General features: G+C 47.8%; 1 protein-coding gene and 1 pseudogene across 2 annotated transcripts, besides 7 other annotated features; one reads left to right on the top strand and one right to left on the bottom strand.

The window, feature by feature from the left end:
- VAMP8 (vesicle associated membrane protein 8) lies at positions 844-5289 on the bottom strand. 2 transcript variants are annotated; one of them, XM_017005170.2, is made up of 4 exons: positions 5226-5289; positions 3708-3866; positions 3001-3133; positions 844-1299 (listed from the first exon to the last, which is right to left on the bottom strand). In XM_017005170.2, the coding sequence occupies exons 1-4, from the start codon at positions 5226-5228 to the stop codon at positions 1295-1297; spliced, it is 300 nt and encodes a 99-aa protein (XP_016860659.1). In that variant the 5' UTR covers positions 5229-5289; the 3' UTR covers positions 844-1294. The 2 variants fall into 2 exon arrangements, with proteins under 2 accessions (XP_016860659.1, NP_003752.2); NM_003761.5 differs by lacking the exon at positions 3001-3133.
- Positions 1259-1912: an enhancer, noted in NCBI's record as "H3K4me1 hESC enhancer chr2:85808086-85808739 (GRCh37/hg19 assembly coordinates)". NCBI's record gives its function as "activates a minimal SCP1, AML or CMV promoter by ChIP-STARR-seq in naive H9 embryonic stem cells {active_cell/tissue: H9 hESC(naive)}" and the evidence as "EXISTENCE:reporter gene assay evidence [ECO:0000049][PMID:30033119]".
- Positions 1913-2567: an enhancer, noted in NCBI's record as "H3K27ac-H3K4me1 hESC enhancer chr2:85807431-85808085 (GRCh37/hg19 assembly coordinates)". NCBI's record gives its function as "activates a minimal SCP1, AML or CMV promoter by ChIP-STARR-seq in naive and primed H9 embryonic stem cells {active_cell/tissue: H9 hESC(naive and primed)}" and the evidence as "EXISTENCE:reporter gene assay evidence [ECO:0000049][PMID:30033119]".
- Positions 2568-3221: an enhancer, noted in NCBI's record as "NANOG-H3K27ac-H3K4me1 hESC enhancer chr2:85806777-85807430 (GRCh37/hg19 assembly coordinates)". NCBI's record gives its function as "activates a minimal SCP1, AML or CMV promoter by ChIP-STARR-seq in primed H9 embryonic stem cells {active_cell/tissue: H9 hESC(primed)}" and the evidence as "EXISTENCE:reporter gene assay evidence [ECO:0000049][PMID:30033119]".
- Positions 3858-3997: an enhancer, noted in NCBI's record as "active region_16133". NCBI's record gives its function as "activates an Ori minimal core promoter by ATAC-STARR-seq in GM12878 lymphoblastoid cells {active_cell/tissue: GM12878}" and the evidence as "EXISTENCE:reporter gene assay evidence [ECO:0000049][PMID:35858748]".
- Positions 4258-4397: an enhancer, noted in NCBI's record as "active region_16132". NCBI's record gives its function as "activates an Ori minimal core promoter by ATAC-STARR-seq in GM12878 lymphoblastoid cells {active_cell/tissue: GM12878}" and the evidence as "EXISTENCE:reporter gene assay evidence [ECO:0000049][PMID:35858748]".
- Positions 5158-5437: an enhancer, noted in NCBI's record as "active region_16131". NCBI's record gives its function as "activates an Ori minimal core promoter by ATAC-STARR-seq in GM12878 lymphoblastoid cells {active_cell/tissue: GM12878}" and the evidence as "EXISTENCE:reporter gene assay evidence [ECO:0000049][PMID:35858748]".
- RN7SL126P (RNA, 7SL, cytoplasmic 126, pseudogene) lies at positions 14915-15213 on the top strand (annotated as a pseudogene).
- Positions 15483-16001: an enhancer, noted in NCBI's record as "NANOG hESC enhancer chr2:85793997-85794515 (GRCh37/hg19 assembly coordinates)". NCBI's record gives its function as "activates a minimal SCP1, AML or CMV promoter by ChIP-STARR-seq in naive H9 embryonic stem cells {active_cell/tissue: H9 hESC(naive)}" and the evidence as "EXISTENCE:reporter gene assay evidence [ECO:0000049][PMID:30033119]".

Here is a 20604-nt window from a genome sequence, read left to right as displayed (position 1 = left end):
GCCAATCTGGTCCCAAACCCTGACTCTCAACCCTTCCCCTTCTTCCTGACAACAGGTTGTTTCCAATTCTGGAAAGCCTGTGGAGGAAACAGGAACAGAGATAGCAAGAACCCTCCCTGCAAACCAAGGCGGACTGGGCACTGGAAAAAGTGACAGTGATGGTGGAACCTGGTAGGGAGGAGGGGGGCCTGAAGACAGAAAGGCTTATTGTGCACAGAGGGGAAGAAGAGCCATTGGCCCTGTCCTGTGACACTGACTGACTGACTGTGCCCAGCCATGGGATGCCAAGGAGAGATGCTTGCCCCCTCAGGACAACTGAGACCCAGAGGCCTTGCTAAGTCCCAGAAGACAAGGACAGAGAAAAGACAAATAAAACATGCAGAAGCACAAGGAAAGGAATAGCAGTCCATTTCCTCCACCCCTCGGCTCTAGACTACAGGGTCGTTGAAGAGAGATGGCTCTGGTGGAAGAGGCAGGAGGATTTCAACCAGCTTCATGCCTCAGCTAACAATTCCAGAAGAAGAGTACTACAGGGCCATGGCAGGACCCAATGGGAACACTTAAAAATCTTGCATACCACCCCAAAATGCTATGAAGGTTTTGAACTTTCCATATGCCAAGACTCCCAGAAAATTCTTGTTCTTGAGACCTGTGACAATGAATGGAACTGGGAGGAATAAAGACAGGGTGGGGGCTCCAACTTTCTTCTCCAAACATATACTCTTTGCCCTTCCAACAACTTGGACCTCAGATGAGAGAATTTTAGCCAGAAGGTATCCTCAGGAAGAAAAGAAATAGAAAAGCCAAAGGCAAAATGGGAAGAGAGAAAGTGCCTCACACATATAGGGATACTGAAAGGTCTTTATTACCCACTGGCCACCAACAGTTTCCCAGCCACATGCTGGGCCCTCTAGGTCTCTCCAGCCCACTCTAAGGACCCAAGAAATGCAGCCACAGTCCATCTCTCTTTTTTCTCTCCTTCCGGGGGACCAAGGTACCTTCTGGGGCATACAACATGGCAGCAGGGCCTCGGGAAGAGGGGTAGGAGGACCGAGCAGCATTCTCTGTAGAGGAAGACAGGAAAGGAGACCCTCTTGGCACACATTTATGGAGGGTTGTCCCTGAAGAGAAGGGCAGGTGGGAGAGGTTCCCTGTTACTTAAGAGAAGGCACCAGTGGCAAAGAGCACAATGAAGAGGATGATGATAAAAACAATCACGCAGATAAGGACAATCATCTTCACGTTCTTCCACCAGAATTTTCGAGCCACCTTCTGCGATGTCGTCTTGAAGTGCTCAGACTGTTGGGGAAAAGGCAGAGTGAGTGACCCAGTGGCTCCTCCCACTGGAACAAGATTATAAGAGTACAAGTGCAGCCCACAGGCCATACTTTTTTTTTTTTTTTGAGATGGAGTCTCGCTCTGTCACTCAGGCAGTGGCTCGATCTTGGCTCACTGCTGCCTCCACCTCCTGGGTTCAATTGATTCTCCTGCCTCAGCCTACTGAGTAGCTGGGATTACAGGTGCCCACCACCACGCCCAGCTAACTTTTGTATTTTTAGTAGAGAGGAGGTTTCACCATGTTGGCCAGGCTGGTCTTGAACTCCTGACCTCAGGTGATCCACTCGCCTTGGCCTCCCAAAGTGCTGGGATTACAGGCGTAAGCCACCACGCCTGGCCTTGTTTGTTTGTTTTTTGAGACAGTGTCTGGCTGTGTCACCCAGGCTGGAGTGCAGTGGCACAATCTCAGCTCACTGCAGCTTCCATCTCCAGGGCTCAAGCAATCCTCCCACCTCAGCCTCCCTAGTGCTGGGACTACAGGCACATGCCACCACGTTCAGCTCAAGCCATACATCTTAATACTGACACTGTAAGCTGAGGTAACAAACTGCTAAATAAAAGATGCTCTGGCCGGGTGCGGTGGTTCACGCCTGTAATCCCAGCACTTTGGGAGGCCGAGGTTGGTGGATCACCTGAGGTCAGTAGTTCGCGACCAGCCTAGCCAACATTGTGAAACCCCCTCTCTACTAAAAATACAAGAAAATTAGCCGGGTGTGGTGGCAGACGCCTGTAATCCCAGCTACTTAGGAGGCTAAGGCAGGAGAATCACTTGAACCTGGGAGGCGGAGGTTGCAGTGAGCCGAGATTGCGCCATTGCACTCCAGCCTGGGTAACAAAGCAAGACTCCATCTCAAAAAAAAAAAAAAAAAAAAAAAAATGCTGTATCTGCCTACCTTGACAAATGTACCTTCCTAAAAATCTGGAAGGCCGGGTTGAAATTTAGAATTCTCAGGATCCTAGGAGGTCTCCACCTAGATATGACTAGGGGTCCCCTTTCTCTTCTTACCCCTGCACACTGAGGGGTCCTCGACACCTGCTTACACCCAAGGGTACAACACTGGCAGCAAAATCTGCCCTTGGGAGGGCAGACCCTGGGACTGAGGGGTGCAGGCTCCAGGTGGGCACATCTCGCAGCTCCAGGACTCCTTGCCCCATCGGGACTGCTGAGGCTGGAGGAGGGACCAGGACAGGATAGAGGGTTGGAAGTAAGGGAACTCCTCCTCCTCCACCCACTCTTCCCCATGCCCAGCAATTCAAGTTATAGACACTAAATTTCCTGGGGCTTGTCCAGACATGGTGGCTCAAGTCTGTAATCCCAGCACTTTGAGAGGCCAAGGCAGGTGGATCACCTGAGGTCAGGAGGTCAAGACCACCCTGGCCAACAAGGCAAAACTTCGTCTCTACTAAAAATACAAAAAATTAGCCAGGTGTGGGGGTGCACACTGTAATCCCAGCTACTCAGGAGGCTGAGGCACGAGAATCGTTTGAACCCAGGAGGTGAAGTTTGCAGTGAGCCAAGATTGCACTCACTCTAACCTGGGCAACAGAGTGAGGCTCTGTCTAAAAAAAAAAAAAAAATTCCCGGGGCCATGCTCCCCAAATTAAGCTACAATTAAGCTACAGAAACAGGCAATGAGCCCCAGGGAGACAAGGGAGCAATACCCAAGAGCCAAGAGTTCACACAGGACTCAGAAAGCCAGAGCCAGCCTCCCCGCTGAACACAGAACTTGAGGCTCCAGACTTTGCTCAACTTTGGAGTTACTTCCTCCCTGAAACAGCTGGCCTCAGCCCCTGGCTGGAGAGAGAGAAGAATGAGGTCTAGCAAGATGTGTGGGAGATATTATTTTAGCCTTCATCTAGCAGGGGACCCTGGGATCAAAGCATTTCACTGCTCTTTCCCCCTTCTTTTTAAAGCCTACTCAGCAAGACGCCAGCAATTTCCCACCCCTTGTCTAACAGCTCCTAGAGAAGGCTAGAGGCCACAGCGGGGGTTTCCTCAGAGCCAATATTTCTGCCCTGGGAAGGTCAGACCCAGATGATTGTCATGGGCAGGCTTCAAAGGGAAAACAAGTTTCCCGGGAGAGAAGCCTGAGAATGCATGGGCTGACTGAGCTTTCGGTCTCAGAACATGCCTCTATGGGCGAGCTGCCACCTCAAGCCCCAGTCATGGGATCCATTCCCTGGGATCCATAACAATCTGTGGAGCAGAGCAGATTCAGAAGTGGAGACTCAGCTCACATCAGCTCCCAAACCAGGTGAAAGGCAACAGAAATGTCAAACTTCTGGCCCTCCTGTCCATTTTGCCCCACCAAAAAGAAATTCCCTCCCTCCCTGTTTTCCTCCAGCCCCCAGTGGGCTCCCTGTCTCACTGTGGCTTCCAGATCCTCTGTCTTGTTGCGGAGATGTTCCAAGTTTTCCCCCCGGGCCAGGATCCGCTCCACATTCTGGGTCATAATATTCTTAACTCCCTCCACCTCACTTTGCAGGTTCCGCACACGATCATTTCCTCCACCTTCACTGGCTTCCTCCTGTGCGGCAACACGGGGTTAATTAGACCAAGTGGTGGGGGAACTGGAGACTTGGGCTCAGAGATCTGGGGAGGGTAAGGCCTCAGGCAGACTTAAGCTTTTTGTAAAATGCTTGAAATGTTTACAAAGAGAATGTTTTCATGTATTACTTCTGTAATCAAAAATAAATGCATTTGTAAGCCCCAGAAGGTGAGATGTGATGCTGAACAGACTAGATCAAACTTCTTTTGGGGTTATTAGGGCCCCTGACAAGGAAAAGCAGCACATCACTAAATCCCTCCCCACTGCTTCCTTGCTCCCTAGAGAGGGCCGTAGAATACAGCAGGGCCAGCATCTCACAATGTTCCCTTCCAGAGCAGAGCCCGCCACTATTTACAATTCCCAGAGCCACCCCCCTTTCCTGATTTCTTGGGACCCTGGTTGAAAGTGTCTGTGCTGGCCAGCAGAACACCCTCACCCAGCCCCACCCATCTGTCCCTCTAAGCCAGCTGCCGGAGCACGGCCCTGGCCGCAATGCCATTGCTGTGACCCAGAACAACAGGCAACCAAGTATCCCAGAAGGCGCCTGGAGCCGTTGAGCCACACACTTCTGCTTTCCCCACCACTGGGCGACACGTGCAGGCACCAAGCAACCGCCTGCTTATGCAGATATTAAATAAAAATACCCGCCTGGGTGTTGGGGGAAATGGAGGACTAGTCCTCCCTGGCTGATGTCTCATCTCGGAGGCTTCATGACAAGGTTTTTGAACAAGGAGAGAAAAATAGTATTTAGCTCCTCCCCGCTTGACCTCCAAAAATAGGCCAGTGGCATGGGTCAGAACTACATTATCACAGAGAACCAACTTCTGGTTCTCTTATAAACCTTTAGTTCTCTTCTCCATGTTAATGGAGAAAGGACACCCAAAGGACTCAGTGGACACACAAATCCTTTGTGTTTCTGTGTGGGGATAAAGTGAAAGGCCGGAGAGGAGAGCTTCTGCCGCTGGGCTGGAATCTGAACTGGGAACTGCCCAGGCGCTGCCTGGTGTGGTGTCACAACACCCGCCTCGGGCTCCCTGGAGGAGGAAGGCACAACAACTCTTTGCCTGGAATTCGGAGCCCCCATCGGCGCTGGCACGGAAGCCCAGCTCCCCACCAGCACAGAGGTCAGGGGAGGGAGGGAGAAGGAGTAGAAACACCTGCCAGGACAGCTCAGAGCTATTTGCAGCCAAGTTGTCAAAGAAGAGAGGCCATAGCAGCACTGGCCCAGCCCTCTAACTTTGCCACCAACTCTCCTCCCCCGACACAGCCAACCCCCAGTCCCAAGCCCCCTCTGGCTCCTCTTTAAACCAGCCCTTTCCTAGTTCCCAGTTGGCTCACCATGTCTCAGAGCAGCCCAGGCCGGTCAGTAAGTGAATTCGCCTAGTCGGCTTCCTCCCAGGGTGGCCCTCAGTTCACTTCCTGCTTGCTCCAACTTTCAGCCTGCCCCCGCCCACCTCGCATCTCGAGTCGCTCCAGCCACACCTAACTCAGGTTTCCCCAGGTAGGCGGGCATTCTTCACTGTCCTCCCAGTGGCTTCCCAAACAAGAGCTTAAACTTAAAGTAATAGGGTTCTCAGAAGCCAAAGGTCTTCTAACTTGTCAGGAATTAGAAAAGAAAGATCAAGCAGCCCTCCGAGGTTTCCAGAGGCTGGACCTCCTGATCTAGAAAGGGCAGCCTTTTTTTTTTTTTTTTTTTTTTTAAATAGAGACGAGTTCTCACCATGTTGCCCAGGCTGGTCTCAAACTCCTGGGCTCAGGCGATCCTCCCACCTCAACCTCCCAAAGTCCTAGGAGCCATGATGCCCCACCAGCCATCTCCTTGTAATGTCTTGAATATCTGACTCCAGTTTCTAGAGACTGAGATCAACCATGCCAGGCCTAGCTCACAGGGAAACAAAATGCAGTTATGAAAATGTATTGCTGGATAACACTTGTTCCCAGGTCCCTGGGTGGCAGAAAGCACTAAAATCCCTGAAGTCTGGAATACTGTGATCCTGGGCTCTGATTCAGAAAGTTCTGGGTTACTAGTTACAGGCCCCTCAGGGAAACTTTTCACCTCTGTGGAGTTTGCAGGTGCTGATGCTTAGCTCAGATGGTGCTGGTAAGAAGCAAAAAGAGGCCGGGCGTGGTGGCTCACGCCTGTAATCCCAGCACTTTGGGAGGCCGAGGCGGGCAGATCACAAGGTCAGGAGTTAAAGACCAGCCTGGCCAACATGGCGAAACCCTGTCTCTACTAAAAATACAAAATAATAAACAGGCGTGGTGGCAGTTGCCTATAATCCCAGCTACTCAGGAGGCTGAGGCAGGAGAATTGCTTGAACCCGGGAGACAGAGATTGCAGTGAGCTGAGATCATGCCATTGCACTCCAGCCTGGGTGACAAGAGCAAGACTCTGCCTCAAAAAAAAAAAAAAAAAAAGAAGCAAAAAGATAGCATGTGCAGTGCAATGCCACTAGCACAGTGTCTATAATGATGGCTCACCAAACCTCTCCTTCCCTTCCAGAGTTCAGCAATTCTGCATTTCCCTTTAGGGGCTACCGCAGAGGTAATTGATCCCAGTCAGTGATCAGAGGACTGCCCCAGTGAACCAGAGCAGGGGGCCCAAGGCAAAGGATTTTTCCACTAACCTGGCTCCAGGCCAGAGAAAATCTGATCTTCCTTGACAGTGTTTATCAAGACAGAAGAACAATAACAGGGACATTCAGAAGGGAACGAACATTCTTGACCCATTCCAGAAGAAATCAGTTCCAAGGAGGAAATGTCAGCTTCTCCAACAAACACTTTTTTTGTTTGTTTATTTTGTTTTGTTTTCTTGAGATAGTCTCCCTCTGTCACCCAGGCTAGAGTCCAGTGGCATGATCGTAGCACCCTGCAGCCTTGAACTCCTGGGCTACAGCGATCGTCCTGCCTCAGCCTCCCCAGTAACTGAAACTACAGGTGCGAACCGCCATGTCTGGCTAATTTATTTTAAAACTTTTTGTAGAGATGGGGGTCTTACCATGTTGCCCAGGCTGGTCTCAAACTCCTGTTCTCAAGTAATCCTCCCTCCTCAGCTTCCCAAAGTGTTGGGATCATAGGTGTGAGCCACCACATCCAGACACAAATAATTTTTTTTTTTTTTGAGATGTTTCTCTCTTGTTGCCCAGGTTGGAGTGCAATGGCGCTATCTCGGCTCACTGCAGCCTCTGCCTCCCAGGTTCAAGCGATTTTCCTGCTTCAGCCTCCCTAGTAGCTGGGACTACAGGTGCATGCCACCAGGCACGGCTAATTTTTTTGTATTTTTAGTAGAGACAGGGTCTTACCATGTTAGTCAGGGTGGTCTCGAACTCCTGACCTCTCAGGTGATCCGCCCGCCTTGGCCTCCCAAAGTGCTGGGATTACAGGCGTGAGCCACCGCGCCCGGCCACAAATGCCTTTTTAAAAGCTTTAAACAAACTTCGGACCCCTGTAGCTTTTTTTTTTTTTTTTTAGAGGCAGGGTCCCACTCTGTCATCCAGGCTAGAGTACAGTGCAGTGTGTTCAAGCTCACTGCAGCCTTGAACTCCTGGGCTCAAGCAATCTTCTCACCTCATCCTCCCCAGTTAGCTGGGACTACAGGCAAGGGCCACCATGTCCAGTTAATTTTTTTTTTTTTTTGGAGACAGTGTCTTGCTGTGTTGTCCAAACTGGTCTCAAACTCCAAACCTCAAGTGATTCTCCCACCTCAGCCTCCCAAAGTGCTGGGATTATAGGCATAACCCACCATGCTCAGCAAATATTATATATAAGCCTGGGCAACAACATATCAAGACACTGTCTCTATAAAAAAATAAAACTGTTGGACACAGTGGCTCATGCCTGTAATCCCAGCCCTTTGGGAGGCCGAGGCAGTGGATCACCTGAGGTCAGAAGTTTGACACCAGCCTGATCAACATGTCGAAACCCCATCTCTACTAAAAATACAAAAACTAGCTGGGCATGGTGGTGGGCACCTGTATTCCCAACTACTCGGAAGGCTGAGGCAGGAGAGTCGCTTGAACCTTGGAGGCGGAGGTTGCAGTAAGCCGAGATCACACCGTTGCAATTCAGCCTGGGCGACAGAGTGAGACTCTGTCTCAAGTAATAATAATAATAATAATAATAATAAAATAAAAATAAAGTAAAATTAAAAAAATAAAATTGGCTGGGCACCGTGGCTCACGCCTGTAATCCCAGCACTTTGAGAGGCCGAGATGGGCAGATCACCTGAGGTCGGGAGTTCGAGACCAGCTCTTGACCAACATGGAGAAAACCCATCTTTACTAAAAATACAAAATTAGCCAGGCATGGTGGCGCATGCCTGTAATCCTAGCTACTCGGGAGGCTGAGGCAGGAGAATTGCTTGAACCCGGGAGGTGGAGGCTGCAGTGAGCCGATATCACACCATTGCACTCCAGCCTGGGCAACAAGAGTGAGACTCTATCTCAAAAAAAAAAACCAATAATAAATAAATAATAAAATAAAATTAGCCAGGCATAGTGGTGCATGTCCATAGTCCTAGCTGCTTGGAGAGCTAGCACAGAAGGATCACTTGAGCCCAGGGGTGTGAGACATCAGTGAGCTATGATAGTGCCACTGCACTCCAGCCTGGGAGACAGAGATAGACCCTGTCACTAATAATGATAATAATAATAATTTTATATATTGATTATGTGGCGAAATAATGTTTGGATATATTGAGTTAAATAAAAGATTAATAAAATAAATAAAATTAATTTCAGCCGGGGATGGTGGCTCACACCTATAATCCCAGCACTTTGAGAGGCTGAGGCAGGCCGATCATGAGGTCAGGAGATTGAGACCAGCCTGGCCAACATGGTGAAACTCCGTCTCTACTAAAAATACAAAAATTAGCTGGACGTGGTGGCGCTTGCCTGTAATCCCAGCTACTCGGGAGGCTGAGGCAAGAGAATCACTTGAACCTGGGAAGCAGAGGTTGCAGTGAGCCGTGATGGCGCCACTGCACTCCAGCCTGAGTAACAGAGTGAGACTGTCTCCAAAAAAAAAAAATAATAATAATAATAATTTCACCTGTTTCTTTATTTTTTAAAATTCATTTTTATTTATTTATTTATTTTTTTTGAGACAGGGTCTCACTGTCACCCAGGCTGGAGTACAGTGTCACAATCATAGTTCATTGTAACCTCAAATTCCTGGTTTCAAGTGATCCTCCTGCCTCAGCCTCCTAAAGTGTTAGCATTACAGGCATGAGCTACTGCATCCAGCCCTGTTTCTCTTACTTTTAAAATTTGGCCAGTAGAAAAATGTAAATTATGTGATTAGTGAAAAATGTTAAAATACATATTGTAATGTGGCTTATCACTGGGCATGGTGGCTGATCCATACCTTAATATTTACATGACCTGGGACAAACTTGCATAACAACTCTAAGCCTCAGTTACCTCATCATCTGTGCTTAGCACTCAAAAAATTCAGTAGACCAGGTGCAGTGGCTCACACCTGTAATCCCAGCACTTTGGGAGGCTGAGGTGAGAGGATTGCTTGAGCCTGGGATTTCGAGACTAGCCTGAGCAACATAGTGAGACCCTGTCTTTTTCTTTTTTCTTTTTCTGTTTTTTGAGAAGGAGTTTTGCTCTTGTTGCCCAGGCTGGAGTGTAGTGGCGCAATCTCGGCTCACTGCAACCTCTGCCTCCTGGGTTCAAGTGATTCTCCTGCCTCAGCCTCCCAAGTAGCTGGGAATACAGGCACATGCGCCACCATGCTCAGCTAATTTTTGTATTTTTAGTAGAGACGAGGTTTCACTATGTTGGGCAGGCTGGTCTCGAACTCCTGACCTCAAGTGATCTGCCCACCTCGGCCTCCCAAATCACTGGGATTACAGGTGTAAGCCACCGCCCCAGCCTCAAACATAATATATATATATATATTCAGTGAAGTGACTTTGTAAGGAAAAACTGCTGAACTGCTTGGTTATAGGAGTTGTAGCCCAAGAAGCAATGGGCCAAATCTTGGTTTATTCTTGGTTGTGCCTCTCATATACACCTCCTCCTTTCCATGCCAGCCCCTTCCTCCTAGTTAATGCCAGCCCCTTCCTCCTAGTTAATGCCAGCATGATCTCTTCCCTGAACAATTCCAATCCCCTCTAAACTCACCTTTCTTTTCTCATCTACTCCTCTGTGGCTGATTGCTATCTTCCCAAAACAGATATTTAAATATGCTCCACCCTGCCTCCAGGATAAAGCCCCAGCTTCCTAGCAATTCCCTGTGTGATAAAAAGACTAGGGTGACATCTGACCTCCTGCTCTTCTACACTACTACCCCTGGCTGTGCAGTTTTGGGCAAGTCACTTCATTTGCAAAATAGGATTAAGAATAGGCTGGGTGCAGTGGTTCATGCCTGTAATCCCAGTACTTTGGGAGGCTGCAGCGGGCGGATCACTTGAGACCAAGAGTTAGAGACCAGCCTGGCCAATACCGCATAACCCCGTCTCTACTGAAAATGTAAAGATTAACTAGGCATGGTGACCACACCTGTAGTCCCAGCTACTTCGGGAGGCTGAGGTGGGAGGATTGCTTGAGGCTTGGAGGCGGAGGCTGCAGTGAGCTGAGATCGTGCCCTACTGCACTCCAACCTGGTTCACAGAGCCAGAGCCAGACCCCATCTCAAAAAAAAAAAAAAAAAAAAAAGGCGGGGCACAGGGGCTCACACCTGTAATCCCAGCACTTTGGGAGGCCAAGGCAAGTGGATCACCTGAGGTCAGGAGTTTAAGACCAGCCTAGCCAACATGGTGAAACCTTGTCTCTACTAAAAACAAAAAATTAGCTGGGCGTGGTGGCACATTCCTCTAATCCCAGCTACTAGGGAGGCTGAGGCAGGAGAATCGCTTGAACCGGGGAGGTGAAGTTTGTGGTGAGCCAAGATTGTGCCATTGCACTCCAGCCTGGGCAACAAGAGCGAAACCCCGTCAAAAAAAAAAAAAAAGAAAGAAAGAAAGAAAGAAAAGAGAAAAAGGACACTAATGGAGAAAACTGAATGAGAAACTAAGAGAAAGGGAATATTACCACCTGAAAAGGCAACCAAGCAAACTTTCAGGTACATAACCCTTGGCATATATCCCAGTCTTCTGATTTATGCCCCAGGTGGGCAGTTTACTCCTATATCTCAGAGGAAAAAAGCTGGAGAACAAGGAAAAGGTACATTCAGGAGGCTCAACTGAACCTGATTCCTGAAGGATCATGAAGTTCTCACCACTGCCAAGGTTCATTTCTGTCTCCAAACCTTCTCTCTGTAGCCTGTTATGCTGCTGGCCATCCCACCTGTCTCCTAATGTGCCCTCTTCCTCTCTGAATGTGCCCCTAGAACACAGAGATTCTGCCCTTGGCCATCTTTTTCTTTTCTTCTTTTTTTTTTTTTTTTGAGATGGAGTCTTGCTCTGTCACCCAGGCTGGAGGGCAGTGGCACTATCTCGGCTCACTGCCACCTCCACCTCCCGAATTCAAGCGATTCTCCTGCCTCAGCCTCCTGAACAGCTGGGACTACAGGCATGTGCCACCACGCCCAACTAATTTTTTGTATTTTTAGTAGAGACAGGGTTTCACCGTGTTAGCCAGGATGGTCTTGATCTCCTGACCTTGCAATTCGCCCGCCTCGGCCTCCCAAAGTGCTGTGATTACAGGCATGAGCCACCATGCCCGGCCCGTTGGCAATCTTTCTTCCGACTTCTGAAGAGAACCACTCTGTTTTAGAGCAGTGTTTCTCAGAGGGGTTATTTTACCTTTCAGGGGTCTTTTCACAATGTCTGGAGACATTTTTGGTTGTTATAGCTGGGGGTAGGGGTGCTACTAGTATCTGGTGGGTTGAGGCCAAGGATGTTGCTAAAATATCCTACAATGCAAAGGACACCCTCTCACAAGAAAGAATCTGGACCAAAATGGCAATTGTTTTGAGGCTGAGAAAACCCTGGTCTCCCTATAGGGAAGTGCAGTGCCTCTACGGCTTCAATAGCCATTTATGAAAAATCCCCAAATTTATTATCTCCAGCCCGGGCCTCTCCCTCAACTACCAATGCTGCCTCTCCAATGCCCTGGACAGTTCACAGACACCTCCAACACCCAAACCAAACCCTTTATCTTTTCTCCATGTTCCTCCTCCTGGGTGGGACTCCCATTCTACCCGCTTCTCAAGCTAGGAACCACAAAGCATCCTTCACATGCAAGGTCGTCACCAAGCCTTAGTTCATACTTTTTTAAAAAAATTTTTTACAAGGGCACAAAAATCAGGCAATTGGTTCATTCTTGGTCGTGCCTCTCATATCCACCACCTCCTTGGTCCACCAGCTCCTGCCTCCTGGTTAATGCCAGCAGCACGATCTCTTCCCTGGACAATTCCAATCCCCTCTAAATTCACCTTTCTTTTCCCATCTACCCCTCTGTGGTTGATTGCTATCTTCCAGAAACACATATTGTATGCTCCACCCTGCCTCCAGGATAAAGCCCAAACTTCTTAGCATGGCATTCCAAGACTGTTCTCAACCTGCTTTTCTGAACTTCTCTCCCATTAGATTCACCTCCCAGCCCTCCAGTCAACCAAATTACATGTCCTTTCTCAAACGTCGTACACCATCCACCTTCTATATCTTTCCCTAAGGCCTTCACTCATCACTGCTTATGACAATTCTATTCACATTTAAGACATAGCCTCCATGAAGCTTTAGAGATTTCCCCACTGAAGCTAACTTGTTCCTGTTCTGATCTCCATCACATTTTATTTCTTTTAAAGAATCTTTCACATACTTTGTCATACATATTTGACCCCTCCAACACTCTTAAGTCCTATAAAGGCAGGCAGGGACTGAGTCCTCACTTTGGTACCCTTTGTAGTATATGACATATGTCCTAGACATGTAGGCAACTCACTAAAGGTTTCAGATATTGAACTGAGAAGTCTGAAAGAAAGCTGCTTTCTCCACAGTACAGAGAAAGATGATTTTTGTTGGAAAAGATTTATAGAGAAATTTCTTTCCTAAAGTTTGACCTATTTTATGGATAAATGAATGCTAAATATCACAAATCTTTGTATATTGGTCCTGAAAGGAAAACCTGGAGATACTGAGTTAGCAAGCTCATTTATTAGCTGTATTTTTCTTTTCTTTTCTTTTCTTTTTTTTTTTTGTTTTGTTTTTTGAGACGGAGTCTCACTCTGTTGCCCAGGCTGGAGTGCAGTGGCACAATCTCGGCTCCCTGCAACCTCCACCTCCCAGGTTCAAGCAATTCTCTACCTCAGCCTCCCAAGTAGCTGGGATTACAGGCGCCCGCCACCACGCCTGGCTGATTTTTGTATTTTTGGTAGAGACGGGGTTTCACCATCTTGGCCAGGCTGGTCTTAAACTCCTGACCTCGTGATCCACCCACCTCGGCCTCCCTAAATGCTGGGATTACAGGCGTGAGCCACTGCGCCCAGCTATTAGCTGTATGTTTCCTATACAGAATACTCTTGTTCACCCAAGACTATTAAGAACTTTTGATCTCCAGCTGGGCAAGGCGGCTAATGCCTGTAATCACATCACTTTGGGAGGCCAAGGCAGGAGGATGCCTTGAGGCCAGGAGTTCCAGATGAGTCTGGCCAACATAATGAGACCCCATCTGTACAAAATATTTATTATTTTATTTTATTTTATTTTTGAAACAGAGTCTCGTTCTGTCGCCAGGCTGGAGTGCAGTGGCGCGATCTTGGCTCACTGCAACCTCCGCCTCCAGGGTTTAAGTGATTCTTCAGCCTCAGCCTCCCGAGTAGCTGGAACTACAAGTGCCTGCCACCACGCCCAGCTAATTTTTGTATTTTTTTAGTAGAGACTGGGTTTCATTATGTTGGCCAGGATGGTCTCAATCTCTTGACCTCATGATCTGCCAGCCTCAACCTCCCAAAGTGCTGAGATTGCAGGCGTGAGCCACTGCGCCTGGCCGATTTTATTTTTTTTTTATTTTATCTTATTTTATTTTAGAGATGGAGTCTCACTCTATCACCCAGGCTGCAGGGCAGTGGCACGATCTCAGCTCAATGCAACCTCCACCTCCTGGGTTTAAGCAGTTCTCCTGCCTCAGCCTTCCAAGTAACTGGAATTACAGGCATGCACAACCATACCTGGCTAATTTTTGTATTTTTAGTAGAGATGGCGTTTCACCATGTTGGCCAGGCTGGTCTTGAACTCCTGACCTCAGATGATCCACCTGCCTTGGCCTCCTGAACTGCTGGGATTACAGGTGTGAGCCACCGGGTCTGGCCAAAATATTTTTTAAATTAAAAAAAAGTTTGAAAAGAACGTGATTTCCCTCTCTCCTTTTAAAACTGCACTCATCCTTCAAAGCCCAAGTGAGACCGGGAGACCCTGTCTCAAAAAAAGCTTTCCTGATTTCTCTAGTGTAATTCATTTCTTCCTCAATGCTTCCATTGCACTCATTTAATAGTATTTATGACTTTCTACATTCTATTACTGTTATTACTATCCTATTATTTCTAAATTATTTTATTATTATCATGTTTCCTTACCATTTAACTCCTAGAAGACAGAGGCTACAATTGAGTCATTTCCCCCTCTCTGTAACTTGTTCAGTCCTTAGCACATAACAGACCATAAATGCTGAATTTACTGGAAGCATTAATATTGAGCAGTCCTAGACGAGTGGATACAAATTTCCTAAGCCAAACTGAATTTGTTTGGGCCAGTATTTGACAGTGGATTAAGAAATACATCTCAGACTGGGAGCAATGACTCATGCCTATAATCCCAGCACTTTGGGAGGCCAAGGTGGGAGGATCACTTGTGTTCAAGAGTTTGAGACCAGCTTGGGCAACATAGTGAGACCCTGCCTCTCCAAAATATAAGAAATTAGCTGGGTATGGGGGTGCACGCCTAGTCCTAGCTCCTCAGGAGGCTGAGGCGAGGAGATCGCTTGAACCCAGGATGTCAAGGCTGCAGTGAGCTGTGATCATGCCACTCAGCCTGGGTGACAGAGTGAGAACCTGTCTCAAAAAAAAAAAAAAAAAAAAAAGCCAGGTGTGGTGGCAGGTGCCTGTAGTCTCAGCTACTTGGGAGGCTGAGGCAGGAGGATCACTAGAGCCTAGGAGTTCTGGGCTATAGTGTGCTATGCCCATCGGGTATCTGCACTAAGTTCAACATTATTATGGTGACCTCCCGGGAGCAAGGAACCACCAGGTTGCCTAAGGAGTGGTGAACCGGCCCAGGTAGGAAACAGAGCAGGTCAAAACTCCCACGCTGATCAGTAGTGGGATCACACCTGTGAATAGCCACTGTACTCCAGCCTGGGCAACATAGTGAGACCCTGTCTCTAAAAAGAAAGAAAGATGGGTCTGGGCATGGTGGCTCACACCTGTAATCCCAGCACTTTGGGTGGCCAAGGCGGGTGGATCACTTGAGGTCAGCAGTTTGAGACCAGCCTGGCCAATATGGTGAAACCCCATCTCTATTAAAAATACAAAATTTAGACAGGCGTGGTGGCAGGCGCCTGTAATCCCAGCTACTTGGGAGGCTGAGGCAGGAGAATCACTTGAACCCGGGAGACAGAGGTTGCAGTGAGCTGAGATTGCACCACTGCACTCCAGCCTGGGTGACAGAGTGAGACTTGGTCTCAAAAAAAAAAAAAAGTGACTTGACCTGCCTTGCCTGTTAGAATAACCTAGAAATGAGCTATATCCTCAATAGCAGGAACACAGTTTGCCTGGTGATTCCTCCTGCTAGAAATCCATCTGGTACCAATAGTCCCTTTTATATGTCTACCTCTGCCATTCTTTTCCTTTAGGACAATAGTTCTCGGTGGATGGCCTAGAAACTCCTGGGGTCTTCAAAGACAAAATTACTGTAGTAATACTGAGATATTTACCTTTTTAACAGCTAGCATTTGTACTGATGATGCAAAAGCAATGGTGGGTAAAAGTGCTGGCAACTAAGCAGGAATGAAGACCATGGCACCAAATTGTAGTAGTAGCCATTGCATTCCTCAATGCCATGCACTTGCAATTTTTAAAAATGCCACTTTCTATTAAGAACGTCCTTGATGAAGCTGGGTGTGGTGGCTCACACCTGTAATCCCAGCACTTTGGGAGGCCAACACGGGTGGATCACCTGAGGTCACGAGTTCGAGACCAGCCTGACCAACATAGAGAAACCCCTTCTCTACTAAAAACACAAAAATTAGCTGGGCATGGTGGGTGCGTGCCTGTAATCCCAGCTACTCAGGAGGCTGAGGCAGGAGAATCGCTTGAACCAGGGAGTCAGGTTGCAGTGAGCCAAGATCGTGCCACTGCACTCTAGTGGGGCGACATAGTGAGACTCGGTCTCAAAAAAAAAAAAAAAAAATGAGTATCCCTGATGAAGCAGTACAAATTATTAATTGTATTAAATCTTGACCCTACAGTACATGTCTTTTTAATATTTTGTGTGAAGAAATGGGAAATATGCATATAGCACTTCTGCATATAATAGTTGTCTCATGGTTTGTCAAGAAAAAGCACTTGTGCAATTAAACTAACCTTTGGCCTGGTGCAGTGGCTCACGCCCATAATCCAAACATTTTGGGAGGCCAGGGCAGGAGGATTGCTTGAGATCAGGAGTTCGAGACCAACCTGGGCAACATGGAGAAACCAGATCTGTACAAAAAATTAGCTAGGGGTGGACACCTCACCCGGCTACTTTTTTGTATTTTTTTGTAGAGATGGGGTTTCACCATGTCATCCAGGCTGGTCTCAAACTCCTGACCTCAAGCGATCCTCCCACCTTGGCCTCCCAAAGTTTTGGGATTATGGGCGTGAGCCACTGTGCCCAGCCCCTCTGCCTATTTTTATTTGGGTTGTCTTTTTCATTGTTGAGTTGCAGGAGTTCTTTACATATTCTGGATACTAGACCCTCATCAGATATGGTTTTAAAATACTTTCTCTCATTCTTTTCACTTTCAAGTATCCCTTTGATGCACACACCCAAAAAAGCAAATAGTGTCCAATTGCATTCTTTGATGAAGAAGAATACAAGCAGTAAGTCAATTACAGCCTATTTTTTTCTTTTCTTTCTTTCTCTTTCTCTCTCTCTCTTTCTTTCTTTGAGACAGGGTCTTGCTCTGTTGCCCAGGCTGGAGTGCAGTGGCACAGTGACAGCTCACTGCAGCCTCAACCTCCTGGGCTCAAGCGGTCCTCCCACCTCAGCCTCCTAAGTAGCTGGGACTCCAGGCGTGTGCCACTGCGCCTGGCTAATTTTTGTATTTTTTGTAATTTTTTGTAGAGATGGGGTTTCACCATGTTGCACAGGCTGGTCTCGAATTCCTGAGCTCAAATAATCCTCCCTCCTCAGCCTCCCAAAGTGCTGGGATTACAGGCATGAGCCACTGTGCCCAGTCTATGGTTGTTTTTAAATTAACAGACTAGGCCGGGCGAGGTGGCTCAGGCCTGTAATCCCAGCACTTTGGGAGGCTGAGGCAGGCGGATCACGAGGTCAAGAGCTCAAGACCATCCTGACCAACATGGTGAAACCCCGTCTCTACTAAAAATACAAAAATTAGCTGGGCATGGTGGTGCGCGCCTGTAGTCCCAGCTACTCAGGAGGCTGAAGCAGAATTACTTGAACATGGGAAGCGGAGGTTGCAGTGAGCCACGATTGTGCCACTGCACTCCAGCCTGGCGACACAGCGAGACTCCATCTCAAAATAAATAAATAAATTAATTAATTAATTAACAGACTATTCTGGGGGGACAATTTTAGCCTTACAGAAAAACTGAGCAGAAAGTACAGAGAATTCCAGGCTGGGAGTAATGGCTCAAGCCTTTAATCCCAGCACTGTCGGAGGCCAAGGAGGGAGGATCACTTGAGCTCAGGAGTTTGAGACCAGGCTGGGCAAGATGGTGAAACCCCGTCTCTACAAAAAATAAAAAAAATTAGCCAGGCACAGTGGTGCACGCCTGTAGTCCAGCTACTTGGGAGGCTGAGGTTGAAGGATCACTTGAGCCCAGAAGGACAAGGCTGCAGTGAGTCAAGATTGTGACACTGCCCCTCCAGCCTAGGCGACAGAGGGAGACTCTGTCTCAAAAAAAAGAAAAGAAAAAAAAAAAAAGAAGAAGAAGAAAGTACCGAGAGTTCCCATATCCCCCTTCAGGCTCCCCATTTTTCCTATTATTAACTTTTTGCATTAGTGTGGTACATTTGTTACAACTGATGAGCCAGTATTGGTATATTATTAACATAGCCCAGCCGGGCGCGGTGGCTCATGCCTGTAATCTCAGCACTTTGGGAGGCCGAGGCGGGTGGATCGCCTGAGGTCAGGAGTTCAAGACCAGCCTGGTCAACATAGTGAAAACCCATCTCTACTAAAAATACAAAAAATTAGCTGGGCGTGGAAGCGGGTGCCTGTAATCCCAGCTACTCAGGAGGCTGAGGCAGGAGAATCGCTTGAAACTGGGAGGCAGAGGTTGCAGTGAGCCGAGATCGCATCATTGCACTCCAGCCTGGGCAACAAGGGGGAAACTCCGTCTCAAAAAACAAACAAACAAAAAAACATAGTCCATATTGATACATTATAATTAACTAAGTCCATAAGTTACATTAGGCTTTACTCTTTTCCACACACAAGTATGACATGTATCCACCATGACACTATTACATCATACAAAATAGTTTCACTTCTGTAAAACTCCCCTGTGCTCCACCTACCATCCCTTCCTCCCCCCAACTCCACTTCCCTGGCAGTCACTGATCTTTTTATTATCTCCATAGTTTAGCCTTTTCAGAATATCATACAGTTGGGGCCAAACGCACTGCCTCATGCCTGTAATCCCAGCACTTTGGAAGGCTGAGCAGGAGGATTGCTTGAGACCAGAAGTTTAAGACCATCTTGGGCAACATAGCAAGACCTTGACTCAAAAAAATACATATATATATGTCATATGGATGGAATCATAGTTTGTAGTCTTTCCACATTGATTTCTTTCGCTTAGCAATATGAATTTAAGGTTCCTCCATGTTTTCTAATGGCTTGATAGCTTTTTTTTTTTTTCCTTGAGATGGATCCCATTATGTTGCCCCGGCTAGTCTTAAACTCCTGAACTAAAGTGATTGTCTTGCTTCAGCCTCCAGAAAAGCTGGGAATAGCTGAGACTACAGAAACATGCCATTTTTTTTCCTTTGTAGTAGAAGTTAGAAAGCTTTTTTTTTTTTTTGAGATGGAGTCTTGCTCTTTCACCCTGGCTGGAGTACAGTGGCGCAATCTGGGATCACTGCAACCTCTGCCTCCCGGGTTCAACCGATTCTCCTGCCTCAGCCTCCCCAGTAGGTGGGATTACAGGCACGTGCCACCACACCCGGCTAATTTTTGTATTTTTAGTAAAGACGGGGTTTCACCGTATTGGTCAAGCTGGTCTCGAACTCCTGACTTTGTGATCCACCTGCCTCAGCCTCCCAAAGTGCTGGGATTACAGGTGTGAGCCACCGTGCCCGGCCTTTTTTTTTTTTTTTTTTTTTTGAGACAGAGTCTTACTCTGTCACCCAGGCTGGAGTGCAGTGGTTCGATCTTGGATCACTGCAACCTCCACCTCCCGGGTACAAGTGATTCTCCTGTCTCAGCCTTCTGAGTAGCTGGGATTATAGACGCCTGCCACCACACCCGGCTCATTTTTTTTGTATTTTTAGTAGAGACGGGGTTTTACCATGTTGGCGAGGCTGATTTCAAATTGCTGACCTTAAGTGATCCAACCGCCTCGGCCTCCCAAAGTGCTGGAATTACAGGCGTGAGCCACCGCGCCTGGCCTCAAAAAAAAAAATTTTTTTTTTCAGGACGGCGTCTTGCTCTGTCGCCCAGGCTGGAGGGCAGTGGTGCGATCTCGGCTCACTGCAAGCTCTACCTCCTGGGTTCACGCCATTCTCCTGCCTCAGCCTCTCGAGTAGCTGGGACTGCAGGCGCCTGCCACCACGCCCGGATAATTTTTTGTATTTTTAGTAGAGACGGGGTTTCACCGTGTTAGCCAGGATGGTCTCGATCTCCTGACCTCGTGATCCACTCGCCTCGTCCTCCCAAAGTGCTGGGATTACAGGCGTGAGCCACCGCGCCCGGCCAAAAAAATTTCTAATACGGCAAATATTGAAAGATATAATCCACATAAACAAAGCTTTTAGGGTCTTCTATAATTTCTAACACTGTAAATGGTTCCCAAGACCCAACTGTTTGAGAACCGCTTCTCTGGGATGCCTTCTTCTTTTCCTGCTGGCTAATCCCAGTGGAGAGATTTAGGTATTTAATTCTGCTCCAGACTCACCTCTGAGAACCTTCCCTGATGGGCCACACTCTACTCACTGCCCTTGCTCTGTATCCCCTCTTCAGTTATGTTGTTCCTGTTTCCCTGGCTGCTTTTAATTTTCTTTCTTTCTTTTCTTCCCGCCTTTTCTTTTCTTTCTCTTTCTTTTTCGTTTTTTGTTTTTTGAGACGGAGTCTCACTCTGTCGCCCAGGCTGGAGTGCAGTAGCGCGATCTTGGCTCACTGCAACCTCCGCCTCCTAGGTTCAAGCGATTCTCCTGCCTCAGCCTCCCGAGTAGCTGGGATTACAGGCGCACGCCACCATGCCCGGATTATTTTTGTATTTTTAGTACAGACGGGGTTTCACCATGTTGGCCAGGCTGGTCTTTAACTCCTGACTTCAAGTGATCCGCCCGCCTTGGCCTCTCAAAGTGCTGGGATTACAGGCTTGC

The sequence above is a fragment of the Homo sapiens genome, chromosome 2 (genome assembly GCF_000001405.40).
Source record: "Homo sapiens chromosome 2, GRCh38.p14 Primary Assembly".
NCBI classification, from domain to species: Eukaryota; Metazoa; Chordata; class Mammalia; order Primates; family Hominidae; genus Homo; species Homo sapiens.
This window is presented reverse-complemented; position numbering and strand designations above follow the sequence as displayed.